This window comes from Homo sapiens, chromosome 1, assembly GCF_000001405.40.
Source record: "Homo sapiens chromosome 1, GRCh38.p14 Primary Assembly".
NCBI classification, from domain to species: Eukaryota; Metazoa; Chordata; class Mammalia; order Primates; family Hominidae; genus Homo; species Homo sapiens.
Window position 1 is genome coordinate 75,677,546 of NC_000001.11, and position 18,191 is coordinate 75,695,736.

Sequence of the window (18,191 nt, forward strand, 5' to 3'; positions counted from 1 at the left end):
GAAGACAGAAAGGAAAGGAAGAAGAAAGAAAATGCCACAAAACAACTGGAAAACTAATAACAAAATGGTAGGAGTAAGTCCTTAATTATCAATAATAACTGAAAGTGGAACAAACTCTCCAATAAAAAAACGTAGAGTAACTAAATGCATAAAAAAAACAAGACCCAGTGCAATCATCTGTTACCTATAAAAAACACATTTCCAAGGGAGGAACCAAGATGGCCGAATAGGAACAGCTCCGGTCTACAGCTCCCAGCCTGAGCGACGCAGAAGATGGGTGATTTCTGCATTTCCATCTGAGGTACCGGGTTCATCTCACTAGGGAGTGCCAGACAGTGGGCGCAGGTCAGTGGGTGCACGCACCGTGCACGAGCCGAAGCAGGGCGAGGCATTGCCTCACTTGGGAAGTGCAAGGGGTCAGGGAGTTCCCTTTCCTAATCAAAGAAAGGGGTGATGGACGGCACCAGGAAAATTGGGTCACTCCCACCCAAATACTGCGCTTTTCCAAAGGGCTTAGAAAACGGCGCACCACGAGATTATATCCTGCACCTGGCTCGGAGGGTCCTACCCCACGGAGTCTCACTGATTGCTAGCACAGCAGTCTGAGATCAAACTGCAAGGCTGAAGCGAGGCTGGGGGAGGGGCGCCCACCAATGCCCAGGCTTGCTTAGGTAAACAAAGCAGCAGGGAAGCTCGAACTGGGTGGAGCCCACCACAGCTCAAGGAGGCCTGCCTGCCTCTGTAGGCTCCACCTCTGGGGGCAGGGCACAGACAAACAAAAACACAGCAGTAACCTCTGCAGACTTAAATGTCCCTGTCTGACAGCTTTGAAGAGAGCAGTGGTTCTCCCAGTACGCAGCTGGAGATCTGAGAACGGGCAGATTGCCTCCTCAAGTGGGTCCCTGACCCCTGACACCCGAGCAGCCTAACTGGGAGGCACCCTCCAGCAGGGGCACACTGACACCTCACACTGCAGGGTACTCCAACAGACCTGCAGCTGACGGTCCTGTCTGTTAGAAGGAAAACTAACAAACAGAAAGGACATCCACACCAAAAACCCATCTGTACATCACCATCATCAAAGACCAAAAGTAGATAAAACCACAAAGATGGGGAAAAAACAGAACAGAAAAACTGGAAACTCTAAAAATCAGAGCGCCTCTCCTCCTCCAAAGGAACGCAGCTCCTCACCAGCAATGGAACAAAGCTGCACGGAGAATGACTTTGACGAGCTGAGAGAAGAAGGCTTCAGACGATCAAATTACCCTGAGCTATGGGAGGACATTCAAACCAAAGGTAAAGAAGTTGAAAACTTTGAAAAAAATTTAGAAGAATGTATAACTAGAATAATCAATACAGAGAAGTGCGTAAAGGAGCTGATGGAGCTGAAAACGAAGGCTCGAGAACTACGTGAAGAATGCAGAAGCCTCAGGAGCCGATGCTATCAACTGGAAGACAGGGTATCAGCGATGGAAGATGAAATGAATGAAATGAAGCGAGAAGGGAAGTTTAGAGAAAAAAGAATAAAAAGAAAGGAACAAAGCCTCCAAGAAATATGGGACTATGTGAAAAGACCAAATCTACATCTGATTGGTGTACCTGAAAGTGATGGGGAGAACGGAACCAAGTTGGAAAACACTCTGCAGGATATTATCCAGGAGAATTTCCCCAATCTAGCAAGGCAGGCCAACGTTCAGATTCAGAAAACACAGAGAACGCCACAAAGATACTCCTCGAGAAGAGCAACTCCAAGACATGCAATTGTCAGATTCACCAAAGTTGAAATGAAGGAAAAAATGTTAAGGGCAGCCAGAGAGAAAGGTCGGGTTACCCTCAAAGGGAAGCCCATCAGACTAACAGCGGATCTCTCAACAGAACCCCTACAAGCCAGAAGAGAGTGGGGGCCAATATTCAACATTCTTAAAGAAAAGAATTTTCAACCCAGAATTTCATATCCAGCCAAACTAAGCTTCATAAGTGAAGGAGAAATAAAATACTTTACAGACAAGCAAATGCTGAGAGATTTTGTCACCACCAGGCCTGCCCTAAAAGAGCTCCTGAAGGAAGCGCTAAACATGGAAAGGAACAACTGGTACCAGCCGCTGCAAAATCATGCCAAAATGTAAAGACCATCGAGACTAGGAAGAAACTGCATCAACTAACAAGCAAAATAACCAGCTAACATCATAATGACAGGATCAAATTCACACATAACACTATTAACTTTAAATGTAAATGGACTAAATGCTCCAAGTAAAAGACACAGACTGGCAAATTGGATAAAGAGTCAAGACCCATCAGTGTGCTGTATTCAGGAAACCCATCTCACGTGCAGAGACACATATAGGCTCAAAATAAAAGGATGGAGGAAGATCTACCAAGCAAATGGAAAACAAAAGAAGGCAGGGGTTGCAATCCTAGTCTCTGATAAAAAAGACTTTAAACCAACAAAGATCAAAGAGACAAAGAAGGCCATTACATAATGGTAAAGGGATCAATTCAACAAGAAGAGCTAACTATCCTAAATATACATGCACCCAATACAGGAGCACCCAGATTCATAAAGCAAGTCTTGAGTGACCTACAAAGAGACTTAGACTCCCACACATAAATAATGGGAGGCTTTAACACCCCACTGTCAACATTAGACAGATCAACGAGACAGAAAGTCAACAAGGATACCCAGGAATTGAACTCAGCTCTGCACCAAGCGGACCTAATAGACATCTACAGAACTCTCCACCCCAAATCAACAGAATATACATTTTTTTCAGCACCACACCACACCTATTCCAAAATTGACCACATACTTGGAAGTAAAGCTCTCCTCAGCAAATGTAAAGAACAGAAATTATAACAAACTATCTCTCAGACCACAGTGCAATCAAACTACAACTCAGGATTAAGAATCTCACTCAAAACTGCTCAACTACATGGAAACTGAACAACCTGCTCCTGAATGACTACTGGGTACATAATGAAATGAAGGCAGAAATAAAGATGTTCTTTGAAACCAACGAAAACAAAGACACAACATACCAGAATCTCTGGGACGCATTCAAAGCAGTGTGTAGAGGGAAATTTATAGCACTAAATGCCCACAAGAGAAAGCAGGAAAGATCCAAAATTGACACCCTAACATCACAATTAAAAGAACTAGAAAAGCAAGAGCAAACACATTCAAAAGCTAGCAGAAGGCAAGACCTAACTAAAATCAGAGCAGAACTGAAGGAAATAGAGACACAAAAAACCCTTCAAAAAATTAATGAATCCAGGAGCTGGTTTTTTGAAAGGATCAACAAAATTGATAGACGGCTAGCAAGACTAATAAAGAAAAAAAGAGAGAAGAATCAAATAGACGCAATAAAAAATGATAAAGGGGATATCACCACCGAACCCACAGAAATACAAACTACCATCAGAGAATACTACAAACACCTCTACGCAAATAAACTAGAAAATCTAGAAGAAATGGATAAATTCCTTGACACATACACTCTCCCAAGACTAAACCAGGAAGAAGTTGAATCTCTGAATAGACCAATAACAGGATCTGAAATTGTGGAAATAATCAATAGCTTACCAACCAAAAAGAGTCCAGGACCAGATGGATTCACAGCCGAATTCTACCAGAGGTACAAGGAGGAACTGGTACCTTCTGAAACTATTCCAATCAATAGAAAAAGAGGTAATCCTCCCTAACTCAGTTTATGAGGCCAGCATCATTCTGATACCAAAGCCGGGCAGAGACACAACCAAAAAAGAGAATTTTAGACCAATATTCTTGATGAACATTGATGCACAAATCCTCAATAAAATACTGGCAAACCGAATCCAGCAGCACATCAAAAAGCTTATCCACCATGATCAAGTGGGCTTCATCCCTGGGATGCAAGGCTGGTTCAATATATGCAAATCAATAAATGTAATCCAGCATATAAACAGAGCCAAAGACAAAAACCACATGATTATCTCAATAGATGCAGAAAAGGCCTTTGACAAAATTCAACAACTCTTCATGCTAAAAACTCTCAATAAATTAGGTATTGATGGGACATATTTCAAAATAATAAGAGCTATCTATGACAAACCCACGGCCAATATCATACTGAATGGGCAAAAACTGGAAGCATTCCCTTTGAAAACTGGCACAAGACAGGGATGCCCTCTCTCACCACTCCTATTCAACATAGTGTTGGAAGTTCTGGCCAGGGCAATTAGGCAGGAGAAGGAAATAAAGGGTATTCAATTAGGAAAAGAGGAAGTCAAATTGTCCCTGTTTGCAGATGACATGATTGCATATCTAGAAAACCCCACTGTCTCAGCCCAAACTCTCCTTAAGCTGATAAGCAACTTCAGCAAAGTCTCAGGATACAAAATCAATGTGCAAAAATCACAAGCATTCCTATACACCAACAACAGACAAACAGCCAAATCATGAGTGAACTCCCATTCATAATTGCTTCAAAGAGAATAAAATACCTAGGAATCCAACTTACAAAGGATGTGAAGGACCTCTTCAAGGAGAACTACAAACCGCTGCTGAAGGAAATAAAAGAGGATACAAATAAATGGAAGAACATTCCATGCTCATGGGTAGGAAGAATCAATATCGTGAAAATGGCCATACTGCCCAAGGTAATTTACGGATTCAATGCCATCTCCATCAAGCTACGAATGCCTTTCTTCACAGAATTGGAAAAAACTACTTTAAAGTTCATATGGAACCAAAAAAGAGCCCGCATTGCCAAGTCAATCCTCAGCCAAAAGAACAAAGCTGGAGGCATCACACTACCTGACTTCAAACTATACTACAAGGCTACAGTAACCAAAACAGCATGGTACTGGTACCAAAACAGAGATATAGATCAATGGAACAGAACAGAGCCCTCAGAAATAATGCCACATATCTACAACTATCTGATCTTTGACAAACCTGAGAAAAACAAGCAATGGGGAAAGGATTCCCTATTTAATAAATGGTGCTGAGAAATCTGGCTAGACATATGTAGAAAGCTGAAACTGGATCCCTTCCTTACACCTTATACAAAAATCAATTCAAGATGGATTAGAGACTTAAACGTTAGACCTAAAACCATAAAAACCCTAGAAGAAAACCTAGGCAATACCATTCAGGACATAGGCATGGGCAAGGACTTCATGTCTAAAACACCAAAAGCAATGGCAACAAAAGCCAAAATTGACAAATGGGATCTAATTAAACTAAAGAGCTTCTGCACAGCAAAAGAAACTACCATCAGACTGAACAGGCAACCTACAAAATGGGAGAAAATTTTCGCAACCTACTCATCTGTCAAAGGGCTAATATCCAGAATCTACAATGAACTCAAACAAATTAACAAGAAAAAAACAAACAACCCCATCAAAAAGTGGGCGAAGGACATGAATAGACACTTCTCAAAAGAAGACATTTATGCAGCCAAAAAACACATGAAAAAATGCTCACCATCACTGGCCATCAGAGAAATGCAAATCAAAACCACAATGAGATACCATCTCACACCAGTTAGAATGGCAATCAATAAAAAGTCAGGAAACAACAGGTGCTGGAGAGGATGTGGAGAAATAGGAACACTTTTACACTGTTGGTGGGACTGTAAACTAGTTCAACCATTGTGGAAGTCAGTGTGGCGATTCCTCTGGGATCTAGAACTAGAAATACCATTTGACCCAGCCATCCCATGACTGGGTATATACCCAAAGGACTATAAATCATGCTGCTATAAAGACACATGCATACGTATGTTTATTGCGGCATTATTCACAATAGCAAAGACTTGGAACTAACCCAAATGTCCAACAATGATAGACTGGATTAAGAAAATGTGGCACATATACACCATGGAATACTATGCAGCCATAAAAAATGATGAGTTCATGTCCTTTGTAGGGACATGGATGAAATTGGAAATCATCATTCTCAGTAAACTATCACAAGAACAAAAAACCAAACACCGCATATTCTCACTCATAGGTGGGTATTGAAAAATGAGATCACATGGAAACAGGAAGGGGAACATCACTCTCTGGGGACTGTTGTGAGGTGGCGGAAGGGGGGAGGGATAGCATTGGGAGATATACCTAATGCTAGATGACGAGTTAGTGGGTGCAGCGCACCAGCATGGCACATGTATACGTATGTAACTAACCTGCACAATGTGCACGTGTACCCTAAAACTTAAAGTATAATAACAAATAAATAAATAAATAAATAAATAAGACTTGGAAAAGAAATAAGACAGGAAAAAAAGAAGAAACACATTTCCTCTATAAAGACATGTATAGATTGAAAATAAAGGGATGGAAAAAGATATTCCATGCAAACAGAAAACAAAAAAGAGCGGAAGTAGCCATATTTATAGAAGACAAAATTGATGTATTAGTTCGTTTTCATGCTTCTAATAAAGACATATGTGAGACTGGGAAATTTATAAAGGAAAGAGGTTTAATAGACTCAGTTCCACATGGCTGGGAAGACCTCACAATTATGGTGGAACGAAAAGGAAAAGCAAAGGTACATCTTACATGGTGGCAAGCAAGAGAGAAGCGTAGGGGAACACTCATTTATAAAACCATCAGATCTCCTGAGACTTATTCATTACCATGAGAACAGTATGGGGGAAACTGCCCATGTGATTCAATTATCTCCACCTGGCCCCACCCTTGACACATGGGGATTATTACAATTCAAAGTGAGATTTGGGTAGGGACATGGAGCCAAACCATATTATTGCATCCTTGGCCCCTCCAAAATCTCATGTACTCACATTTCAAAGCCAATTATGCCTTCCCAACAGTCTCCCAAAGTTTTAACTCATTTCAGTATGAACTCAAAAGTCCAAGTCCAAAGTCTCATCTGAAACAAGGCAAGTTCCTTATACCTAGGAGCCCATGAAATCAAAGCAAGTTAGTTATTTCCTAGATACAATGGGGATACAAGCATTAGCTAAATTGGAGAAATTGGCCAATTTCAAAGTGGAGAAATTGGCCAAAATAAAGGAGCTACAGGCCCCATGCAAGTCCAAAATCCAGCAGGGTATTCAAATCTTAAAGCTCTGAAATGATTTCCTTTAACTCCATGTCTCACATCCATGTCACACTGACATAAGAGGTGGGTTCCCATGGTCTTGGGCAGCTCCGCCCCTGTGGCTCTGCAGAGTACAGACACTCCTGGCTTCTTTCACAGGCTGGTGTTGAGTGTCTGCAGGTTTTCCAGGTGCATGGTGCAAGCTGTCAGTGGTTCTACCATTCCGGAGTCTGAAGGATGGTGGCCCTCTTCTCATAGCTCCATCATTAGGCAGTGCCCCAGTGGGGATTCTGTGTGGGGCTCTGACCCCACATTTCACTTCCACACTGACCTAGAAGAGGTTCTCCGTGAGAGCTCTGCCCCTGCAGCAAACCTCTGCCTAGACATCCAGGCATTTCCATACATCCTCTGAAATCGAGGCAGAGCTTCCCAAACCTCAATTCTCAACTTCTGTGCACTGGCAGGCCCAAGACCACATGTAAGCCACCAAGGCTTGGGGCTTGTACTCTCTGAATCAATGGCCTAAGCTGTACCTTGGCCCCTTTTAGCCATGGCAGGGATGCAGGGCACCAAGTCCCAAGACTGCACAAAGCCACAAAGCACTGGGCCTAGCCCACAAAACCATTTTTTTTTCCTGGGCCTCCTGACTTGGGATAAGAGGGGCTGCTGTGAAGACCTTGGACATGCCCTGGAAACATTTTCCCCATTGTCTTGATGATTAGCATTTGGATCCTCATTACTTATGCAAATTTCTGCAGCCAGCTTGAATTTCTCCTCAGAAAATGGGTTTTTCTTTTATATTGCATAATCACGCTGCAAATTTTCTGAACTTTTCTGCTCTGCTTCCCTTTTAAATATAAGTTTCAATTCCAAACCATATCTTTGTGAATACATAAAACTGAATGGTATTAAGAGCACTTTTGACCAGTTCCCAAGAAGTTCCTTATCTTCATCTGAGACCACCTCAGCCTGGACTTCATGGTCCATATCACTGTCAGCATCTTGGTCAAAGCCATTCAACAAGTCTCTAGGCAGTTCGAAACTTGCTCACATCTTCCTGTCTTCTGAGCCCTTCGAGTCTCTGGGAAGTTCCAAACTTTCCCACACTTTTCTTTCTTCTTCTGAGCCCTTCAAACTGTTCCAACATCTGTCTGTTACCCAGTTCCAAAGGTTGTTTCCATATTTTTGGGTATCCTTATAGCAGCACTCCACTCTTCTGTGGTACCAATTTACTGTATTAGTCCATTCTCACACAGCTAATAAAGGCATACATGAGACTGGGTAATTTATAAAGGAAAGAGGTTTAATTGACTCACAGTTCCACATGGCTGGAGAAGTCTCACCATGACTTACAATCATGGTAGAAGGGGAAGCAAACATGTTCTTTACACATGGTGGCAGGAGAGGGAAGTGCTGAGTGAAGGGGGAAGAAAGCCCCTTTAAAACCAACAGATCTCATGAAAACCCATTCACTATCACAAAAACAGCATGAGGGTAACCACCCCCATGGTTCAATTACCTCTCACCAGGTCCCTCCCATGACACATGGAGATTATGGGAACTACTATTCAAGGTGAGATTTGGGTGGGGACACAGCCAAACCATATCAGAGGTGAACAAAATAATGCCTTTTGTAGCCATTTGCACACGTGTGTGTATATGAAGATTTCAGAGGGTAAGAAACATCACAAAGAATAATAAAACAAGCTGTGAAGATGGAATATTAGGAGTAAGTGGGGAATGCTAAAAAATAAAAAATAGTCATGGAAGCCCTCCTTAATAAGATGAGATTTTCACAGAGATGTAGATGAAGTGAGAGAATGAAACACCTCAACATCTTGAAGTAGAGCCTGTTGGCAAAGGTCAATAAGTACGGAAGCCCTAAAGCAGGAGTGTTTTTGGCCTTTTGAGAAACAGCAAGGAGGCCATAAATGATGGGAAGAATCGTAAGGAATGAGGTCAAAGAGGTAAGAAGGAGTCAGATGTTGCAGGATCACAGCGATTATTGAAGGGACTTTGGTTTTGCTTTTAGTAAGGTGAGAAGTAATTCAAGAATTTTCAGCAGAAAAGTGAAATGTATTATTTGCATTTTAAAAGGATAACTCTAGTGAAGTAGGAAATCAGGAAATTGGAAGCTATTACAACACATCCCTACAAGGGAAGAGATGATGGTTGCTAGGAGAAGGGATTACTGTGGATAGCTACCATGTGGACAGATTCAGGATATATTTGGATAGTACAGTCAACAGGATTTGCTGAACGTGGATGTATTTGGACAATAGAGTAAATTGGACTTGCTGATGTATGGATTGTGATATGAGAGGAAGGAAAAGGTCAAGGATGATTCCAAGGTTGTTTAATCTGAACAATGTGGTAAATACTAATGCTTTTTGACACAAGAATAATACAGAGTGGTCGCAGAAGAATAGAGAATTCCAGGCAGGAATTTTGCATAACTAGCAAAAGGAAACTTTTGAAAGAGCTACATAAGCTAGGGTCTGAAAAACAGGATGTGTGCCAACCTAAGACTGACTGAACCCAGATTGGGTCCAATCTGGTGCTAAATTTGACCTAGGTTTCACCTAGGACCTCATTACACACTCATTAACATACTAAATCACACACCCACCAGCACCATGACAGTTACAGGAATAACCATATCTCATGTGAAAGTGAATGGCTCCACAGTGCTGAAAAATCTTCACCTTTTTTCCAGAAATCTTTTTTTCATACAGAGTCTCACTCTGTCACACAGGCTGGAGTGCAGTGGCACAATCTCCACTCACTTCAACCTCCACCTCCTGGGTTCATGCCATTCTCCTGCCTCAGCCTCCCAAGTAGCTGGGATTACAGGCGCCCACCAACACGCCTGGCTAATTTTTGTATTTTTAGTAGAGACGGGGTTTCACCATGTTGGCCAGGCTAGTCTTGAACTCCTGACCTCAGGTGATCTGCCCACCTCAGCCTCCCAAAGTGCTGGGATTACAGGCATGAGCCACCACATGCAGCCTTTTCCAGAAATCTTTATGAATATTTCACCACTTAGATAAAGAAACCTATAAGAATAGAAGCCTCAAATTTCATTGGATGTGAATTTCTCCCCAGGACACTCTCACTTCCCTTTCTTGTGTACTTTTTGCTTTGGAATAAATCTCTGTACTTTCACTATTTTCCAACTCTTCCTTGAATTCCTTCTTGCAATCGTGTCAAGATCCTGGACACCAGCAGGAGTCAAAGTCCTATGGGCATTTGGGGAGCTCCCCTAGCCCACTAGTATCACCTTTATGGTCATCCAGCCAAGAGACTTGTCATCCCCATTTTAGGACTAGCAGCAGTTGTTATGTCTCACTTTGACCTCAGTCAAAGTCTTCTCATTCCCTGAAGTTATTGCTAATTTCTTCCTTGTTCCTCAGAGCTGACTACAGCTTGAATCCCCTCAGTCATAGTGCCTCTGCTCTCTCTGACTAGAGAGCAAACCTTGTTTGCCCTGATGAGTGACAAATGGAGGTGGAAAGGTTTCAACCTACACCAAGTAGTTCTGAGATGCCACAGTCTTTCCTGACAGGAGGCTAATGAAGGCAGTAGGCTAAAGTCTCATACTATGCAGTGCTTGGCTAGCCTCCTAGGAGCACTATAACTTTTCCCAGGAAGAGTCTTCCATTTTCTCAAGGAACCAGTTGTGGCAAGACACTGACCCCAGTTGGGAACTATTTTCTCTTTCCCATCTTTCTTTAAACCTTGCTTTTGCAATTTTTCTCTTCTGTGCTTCTTCCTCATACTTCACACAAAAGCTCAGTATACTTTTTGGACACAGCAAGATAGGCCTCTTAGATATTGCCCTCTGGAATGCCAAATCCAGGCCTATGGTTCTTAAGATGTCCTTTCGAGGTCCTTCTTTATTGGCCATGCTGAATCATCTCTATTCCCAAGTTTTACTTGATAATAAATGTTCAGATAGATATTGCATGCTCACTGCTTTCAAATTAGACCTGCAGCTCATCCTACTTGACCTCAAAAGCCCTCCCATTTTCAAAGCCTCGGGGGCTGTGAACACCTGAGCAATGCTAGGGCTCCAGGGAAACACCTGGATGCCAAACACATGCTCAGCCAGTGATCATCTCTTTAAAAGACAAAAATAATTTCCCATACAAGTGTCAGTATCCCCTCAAACCAGAAGCCAGGCAAGGACTCCAATCTCTAATTGAGAAGTTTTTGAAACATGGCCTCATGGTTCCATGTCAGTCTCCTTGTAATACTCCTATCTTCTCTGTTCAAAAACTAAATGAAGAATTTCATCTAGTTCAAGACTTATGAGCCATTAATGAGGCTGTAATTCCCTCACATCCTATGGTGCTAACCCTTATACCATACCTATCCAAATACTGAGAGACACCAATTGGTTTACTCTATTAGATCTTAAGAATGCTTTCTTTTGTATTCCTTTGCACCCTGACTCTCAGTATTTGCTTTTTGAGAGGACTAATCCTGAAACTAATATTACCCAGAAGTACACCTGGATGGTACTGCCTCAGAGCTTTAGGAATAGCCCTTACTAGTTTGAAAATGACTTGGCATGAGTATTAAGGGACCTAGAGCTAGAAAATTGAGCCATATTCCAATACGGGGATGACATCCTTGTATGCAGTCCACTAAAGAGGACTCAGATAAGAATCCCATTCAAGTCCTAAACTTCCTGGGAGAAAGGGGGTATCAGGTTTCTCCATCCAAGGCCCAGATTTCCAAACTGGAAGTAAAATATCTGGGGTACATCCCAAGCCTAGGAAACCAGATCTTGTCTGTTGAGTGAAAGGAGGCTGTCTTAAAGGGGGGAACTCCACAAATGAAGAAGCAACTCTGAACTTTTCTAGGTATGGCAGGATTATACAGGATTTGGATCCCAGGTTTTGGGCTCATTACTAAGCCATTGTACGAGGCCCTAACAAGACCAGACCATGAACCACTCAAATAGTCAGGGAAATAACAAGAAGCTTTATCTTCTAGCTGAAGAAAGAGGGGTTTGCACAGAAATAAACCACACCTGATGTTCTTATATTAACATTTCAGGATTAATTGAACTGCAAGTTTGAAAGATTTACCAACAGGCTACCTGGCTACATAATTTCAATAACCCCACCACTCAAACCATCTGAGACTCTGTCAAAGGATACCTACCAAGTGTGATCTGGTTCCTACATTTCCTGGGACATTTAATAGCTACCTTATTACTACTAATCTTTGGTCCTTGCTTGTTTAGCCTCCTTGTAAAGTTTGTGTCTTCTAGGTTGCAACAGTTCCATGTCAAAATTTTGGTCATGCAAGGATTTCAACCAATCCCTGCCTCAGATTCAGACTCTCCTGATGAATCACCCTTGGGACCCTTAGACCAGGCAGCTGGAGACTCCCATTCCCTTTCCAGGCAGGGCCAACACCCCTAATCAGCAGGAAGTAGAAATAGAAGACTAACCTCCTCCCTCATCAACACTTAAGAATAAGGAATGGTGTTTTAGTCCATCCTCACACTGCTATAAAGATACTACTGGAGACTGGGTAATTTATAAAGAAAGGACGTTTAACTGACTCACAGTTCTGCATGACTGGTGAGGCCTCAGGAAACTTACAATCATGGCAGAAGGTGAAGGCGAAACAAGGCATGTCTTACATGGTGGCAGGCAAGAGAGACAGAGGCAGGGAAGTGCCAAATACTTGTAAAACCATCAGATCTCATGAGAACTCCCCCCAATATCACAAGAACAGCATGGGAGAAACTGCCCCCATGATCCACCAGGTCTCTCCTTTAACACACGGGGATTATAATTTGAGATGAGACTTGGGTGGGGACCCAGAGCCAAACTATATCAGATGGAAATCTCTGAGAGGGGAAAATGAGACAAGAATAATACAAGGTGGCTGCAGAACAATAGAATAATCCAAGCAGGAGTTTCACATGACTAGCTAAAGGAAGATGTCAAAATAGCTGTATATGCTAGGGGTTAAGACCCTGAAAAACCATAGTGTTGGCCAAGCTGGGTAAGACTGACTAGACTCAACATAGTGCTAGATTTGATCTAGGTTTTACCTAGGACCTCATTATACACTCATTAACATACTAAATCACACATCCACCAAGGCCATGACACTTCCAGGAACACCCATATCTGGTGTAAAAATGTGTGGGACCATAGTGCTGAGAAATCTTCACTTTTTTCCAGGAATTTTCATGAATATTCCACCCATTGGTTAAAGAAAGCCATAGGCCAGTTGCAATGGCTCATGCCAGTAATCCCAGCACTTTGGGAGGCTGCAGCAGGCAGATCACTTGAGATCAGGAGTTCAAGACCAGCCTGGGTGACATGGTGAAACCTTGTCTCTAATTTTTTTAAAAAAAGAAGAAAATAAAGGAAAAAAAAAAGAAACCCATAAAGGTGGAGGCCCCAAACCCTGTCAGGTGTGACTCTCTTGAATACACATGCACCCCCCCCTTTCTTGAGTGTGTACTTTTCGCTTTCAGTAAATCTGCATTCTTTCACTATTTTCCAACTTGTTCTTGAATTCTTTCTTGCAACAGTGTCAAGAGCCTGAACACCAGCCAGGGTCAAGGTCCCACCAGCATTTGGGAACCTCCCCTAGCCTGAGAGGAAAACTCAAAATTTAGTTTTGTATTTGTTAAATTTGACAGGTCTTTTAGCCATCTAAAGGAAAATGATAGCAATGAGATTTTTGAGTCTAAAGCTCAGAGGAGGGGTCAAGGCTGGTAATATAAATTCTGGAGTTGCTAGCATAAAAATGGTATTTAATACCACTGTACTAGATAAAATCATCTAGAAAATGAATATAGAGCAAAGACAAGCTACAGAGTGAAATCAGTTTCCCTGGAAGCAGAGCTTGAGACAAGGATTAGAGGCACTTGATTTATTGAGAAGTCTCTCCTCAAGAAAAACTTGTAAGGCCACGAGGGAAACAAAATGAAAAAGGGGGAAAATCTGAGTAACAATATGGTCTCAGATAAAATATGGCCTTCTCCTAATCCTTGGTTGGGGCATGGGTGGCTTAGAGCCTCTGGGAGCTAAGTTGACCCACCCTGAGGCAAGGAAGATGGGAGGCTAAGAAATACAAGATCAAGGTGCAAACCAATTCAGTGCCTGATGAGGGCCCTTTTCCTGGCTTGCAGATAGCTGCCTTCTTTCATGTCTTTACATGGCAGAGAGAGAAAGATCTGGTCTTTCTTCCTCTCTTTATAAAGATACTAATCTCATCATGGGGGCCTCACTCTCATGATCTTATCTAAACCTAATTATTTCCCAAAGGCCTCACCTCCAAATAGCATCACAATGGAGGTTAGGGTTTCAATATATAAATTTGGAGTGGGGGGACACATCAGTACATAGCATGCTTCATTGTCTCATTATACTTTACTTACAAAACACAAATTTAGATATAAAATTATTAAGTGTGCAACTACAGTGTTGAATGCCAGTGAAGTTGATCCTGCTAATGGGAATGATCCAGCAGACTGGGAAAACCACAAGTAAAAAACACAGAGAGAGAACAATTCAGAAGTAAAGTGTTTGCATAGATGAGAAAAGATGGGATTCTTTTTTTTTTTTTTTTTTTTTTTTCTGAGACAGAGTCTCGCTCTGTTGCCCAGGCTGGAATGCAGTGGCACGAACTTGGCTCACTGCAACCTCCACCTCCTGGGCTCAAGTGATTCTCCTGCCTCAGCCTCCCAAGTAGCTGGGAATTTGGGCATGTGCCAACATGCCCAGCTAATTTTTTTTGTATTTTTAATAAAGACGGGGTTTCACCATGTTAGCCAGGATGGTCTCAATCTCCTGACCTTGTGATCCGCCCGCCTCAGCCTCCCAAAGTGCTGGGATTACAGGCATGAGCCACCGCAGCCGGCCCGAGGATGGGATTCTATGCAGAAGTAGAAGGGTTGACCTTAAATAGGAGCATTAATGGTTTATTTCATGTAATAGGAGAGGAAGCAGAGTGTATCTGTACATGTGCTGGTAAATTGTTTGATGTGGTTATGAGAGCAGGAGATAGTCCTCTTCTTATTGCTTCTGTTTACTCATTGGTATTAGAACATTATTATCTAAAAAGGAAAGGAATGGGAAAAACGAGAGAAGGGAGAGAAAAATATGTAGGTAGGTTTGAAAAGAGAAAAAGTATGTAATATTCATCTAGGAATGTTTATGAAGCAGGTAAATATAGTAAGATTTCTAGAACCCTCATGAGGGTTGGTCAATTTGAAATGAGACCAGTCAGTCTTTAGCCACATCTCCCCTGGGAACAGATGCAGAGTAGTCAACAAGTTAGATGTAAGTGTGATGGAATTCTGCCAGCTGAGAATAGTGAAGGAAAAAGGGGCAAGACTGTTGAAGGTATATGCAAAGGAATGATTATAGTAATGAAACATGAAATCTAAATCATTCAAGGAGCAGAAGTGAGGACATGAAGGGGTAAATAGAGTAAAGATAGTAGGGCAATGGATTGGAGATCCTAGTGGCCTCAAAGAATTGCTGAGGTTGGGGTATCAAAGACTGAATTGGAAAGATAATTACAGTGAAATGATCAAATGGAGGCTGGACAGTTAGTCAGGAATTCTAGAGTTCTGGCTGTGCCATGTGAATTCATTCAGTTCTAGGGAAGTTTGGTGCCATCTGATAGCAGTTTTCAGTATTGGCCTAAATATTGGGTTATATTCTGGCCTCTGGCTTGCTTAGACTTTCAGAAAGCAGAAATTATCCAGGAATTTCCCATTTACCTTGGCACCCATTTCAGCAGCCCCGGTTAGGATTTGGGGGAACAAACCCACTGCCTCCTAGTTTTTCAAAGAGTTATCTGCTGTTTGTTCACCTGGCCTTACTTTATTGTCTCTATCCCCTACCCCATAGAAGATAGCTCATATACATTTGCGAATGGGTACTGAGTAAAAGACCAGAGGCAACAGTCAATTAGATAATCTCTAGATTCAAGTTACTGAAGCGTTTCTTATCGCAAGGCAGTATTGTATTTTAAGTCACAAGCCTGATAAAAATGGTACGGAAGAGTTCTGAGAACTGCATACTGGAGCCCACCAATGTTTACAGGTTCAGGAGATAAGGAGAAACTAGCAAAGGAAAAAGACATAGAGACCAGTGAGGTAGGAGAAAATCTAAGGAAGTGGGATATCCTGAAAACCAAGTGAAGAAAGTGACTCCAGAAGGAGGAAGTGATCAGCTATGTCAAATTGTGCTGCTAGGTCTAGTAAGATGAAGAATAAGAACTAACCATTGGTTTTAGCAAGATAAAAAGTAATTTTGATAGAGTTGTGGAGCAAAAGCCTGAATGGGGAGGGTTTAAGAGAGAATGGGAAGATGAGAACTGGAGGCATTAGGTCCATACAGTGTAAGTCTTGAGTTTTGCTGTGAAGAGCAATGAAATGGGATGATAGTTAGGAGAGGAAATGGAGTTGAGTTTTTTTAAAGATGAGAGTGATAATATCACATTTATAAACAGATGGAAATGACCAAGCAGAAAGGCAAACGTTGATGTAGAAGAGGAAAATAAGAATTACTAAAGTAATACCTTTGAGTAGGCAAGAAGGAATGGATTCTGTGAGACATATAAGTGGAAGATTTGGCCTTATGTCAGAAAAATGGACTGTTATCTACAAATAACGGCAGGTAAGCAGAGTATAAAGGTGTAGATCCTAGTAGGTAGAAAGAGGTGGTAATGAGAGTTTGTGCACATTCTATTCTGATTGCTTCAATTTTTCTTTTCTTTAGAATCTCCTGAGTTATACAACTTGTGGAAGGGAGCCATTGGTACATGTTAATTTCCATTTTTTTAATCAAGAATCTGTTTTCTTCCTAGCATTTATCACTATTTTTAAAAAACATGCCTATTTCTCCTTGTTGTTACATGTAAATCCTATTGGAATGGTAACTCTTGAGCAAGAATACTGTGTTTTTTCACTGCTATGTCCCCGTTAGATTAAGATGTGGGACATAGGTACCTTACCTCATAAGGTAAGAAAATGTCACTCTAATATTAAAATAAATTAGATGTTACATAGAAAAACTGTAGAAATATTTACTAATAGAAACAATGCTCATTAAAATCTATGTAAATGTGTAATTGATAGAAATTGCACTGTCTTTAAAGTTGTATCAAGAAGTTTAATATACCTATCATGTCTCATTGGGAAACTACCAATTTAAATGAATACATGAAAAATATAGTATGGAAATTTTTATCATTCTAAGTCGTTCAAAATGGAAGGTTGTATAATAGCTTTTGTGGAGTTGGTTAAAAGCGAAGTTGGTTGGGACGCTCAGCATTTGACATATTACTTGGCATACAAGTGGAGCAAAACAACTATTTTCATTCCAAATAATTTGATGACAATATTTTTACCAAAAAGAATTGTTAACCAGTTTCTAGAAGAACTTCTGATTAATCAGACAGAACTATTACAAGGGTAAAAAAGGCAATTGATTAGACTACTAACTTTTTGGGATCAGCTCTTTTTTACACTTAATTTATGTCACCAAATTTAATTTCATGAGTGGATATAACCACCATCTCTGTGCAGATGATCATTAGAAATTACAGTAGCAGACATTCTGCCCACTGAAATTTATGATTGGCATTGGAATTTACAAACTAGTTCCTGTTGACTTTGGCTAACAGAGATCAGTGCCCTAAAATCAGATGCTTCTAGGTAAATTTACAAAATCAGGTTTCTAAATCTGTAAAACTAAATATATCAGATAACGCCAAGTAGACTTTTATTTGTGAATGGTGTCTCCTGGAGCTGTTTAATGTGACATCCCAACTAGAAGATAAACTAACTCCTGGAGGTCCAATTATTACATAACAGTTACTTTACAAAATGACCACGTTTGACTTCTGATAGCCTAGGAATTTAGCATCTGTTAATGAGCTAGAACTGAAAGGCAGTTATCAACACTTTAAGGAGCATACATCCCCAATTCCTAGGACAATACTTAAGGAGGAAAACAAAAGACTTAGTAGTTTACTAAATTTGTAGGGAAACAAATAAGGTATGTTGTCAGCAAATAAGATTATGAATACTATTTAATATATAGTATTTATATATGTATATAAAAATATATGACTTATATATGTATATAAA

General features: G+C 41.1%; 1 protein-coding gene across 2 annotated transcripts in view, besides 1 other annotated feature; it reads right to left on the minus strand.

Moving 5' to 3' along the window:
• SLC44A5 (solute carrier family 44 member 5) overlaps positions 1–18,191 on the minus strand; it is a 521,887-nt gene that overhangs the window by 475,417 nt on the left and 28,279 nt on the right. The window lies entirely within an intron of this gene.
• Positions 501–1,160: an enhancer, noted in NCBI's record as "OCT4-NANOG-H3K27ac-H3K4me1 hESC enhancer chr1:76143731-76144390 (GRCh37/hg19 assembly coordinates)". NCBI's record gives its function as "activates a minimal SCP1, AML or CMV promoter by ChIP-STARR-seq in naive and primed H9 embryonic stem cells {active_cell/tissue: H9 hESC(naive and primed)}" and the evidence as "EXISTENCE:reporter gene assay evidence [ECO:0000049][PMID:30033119]".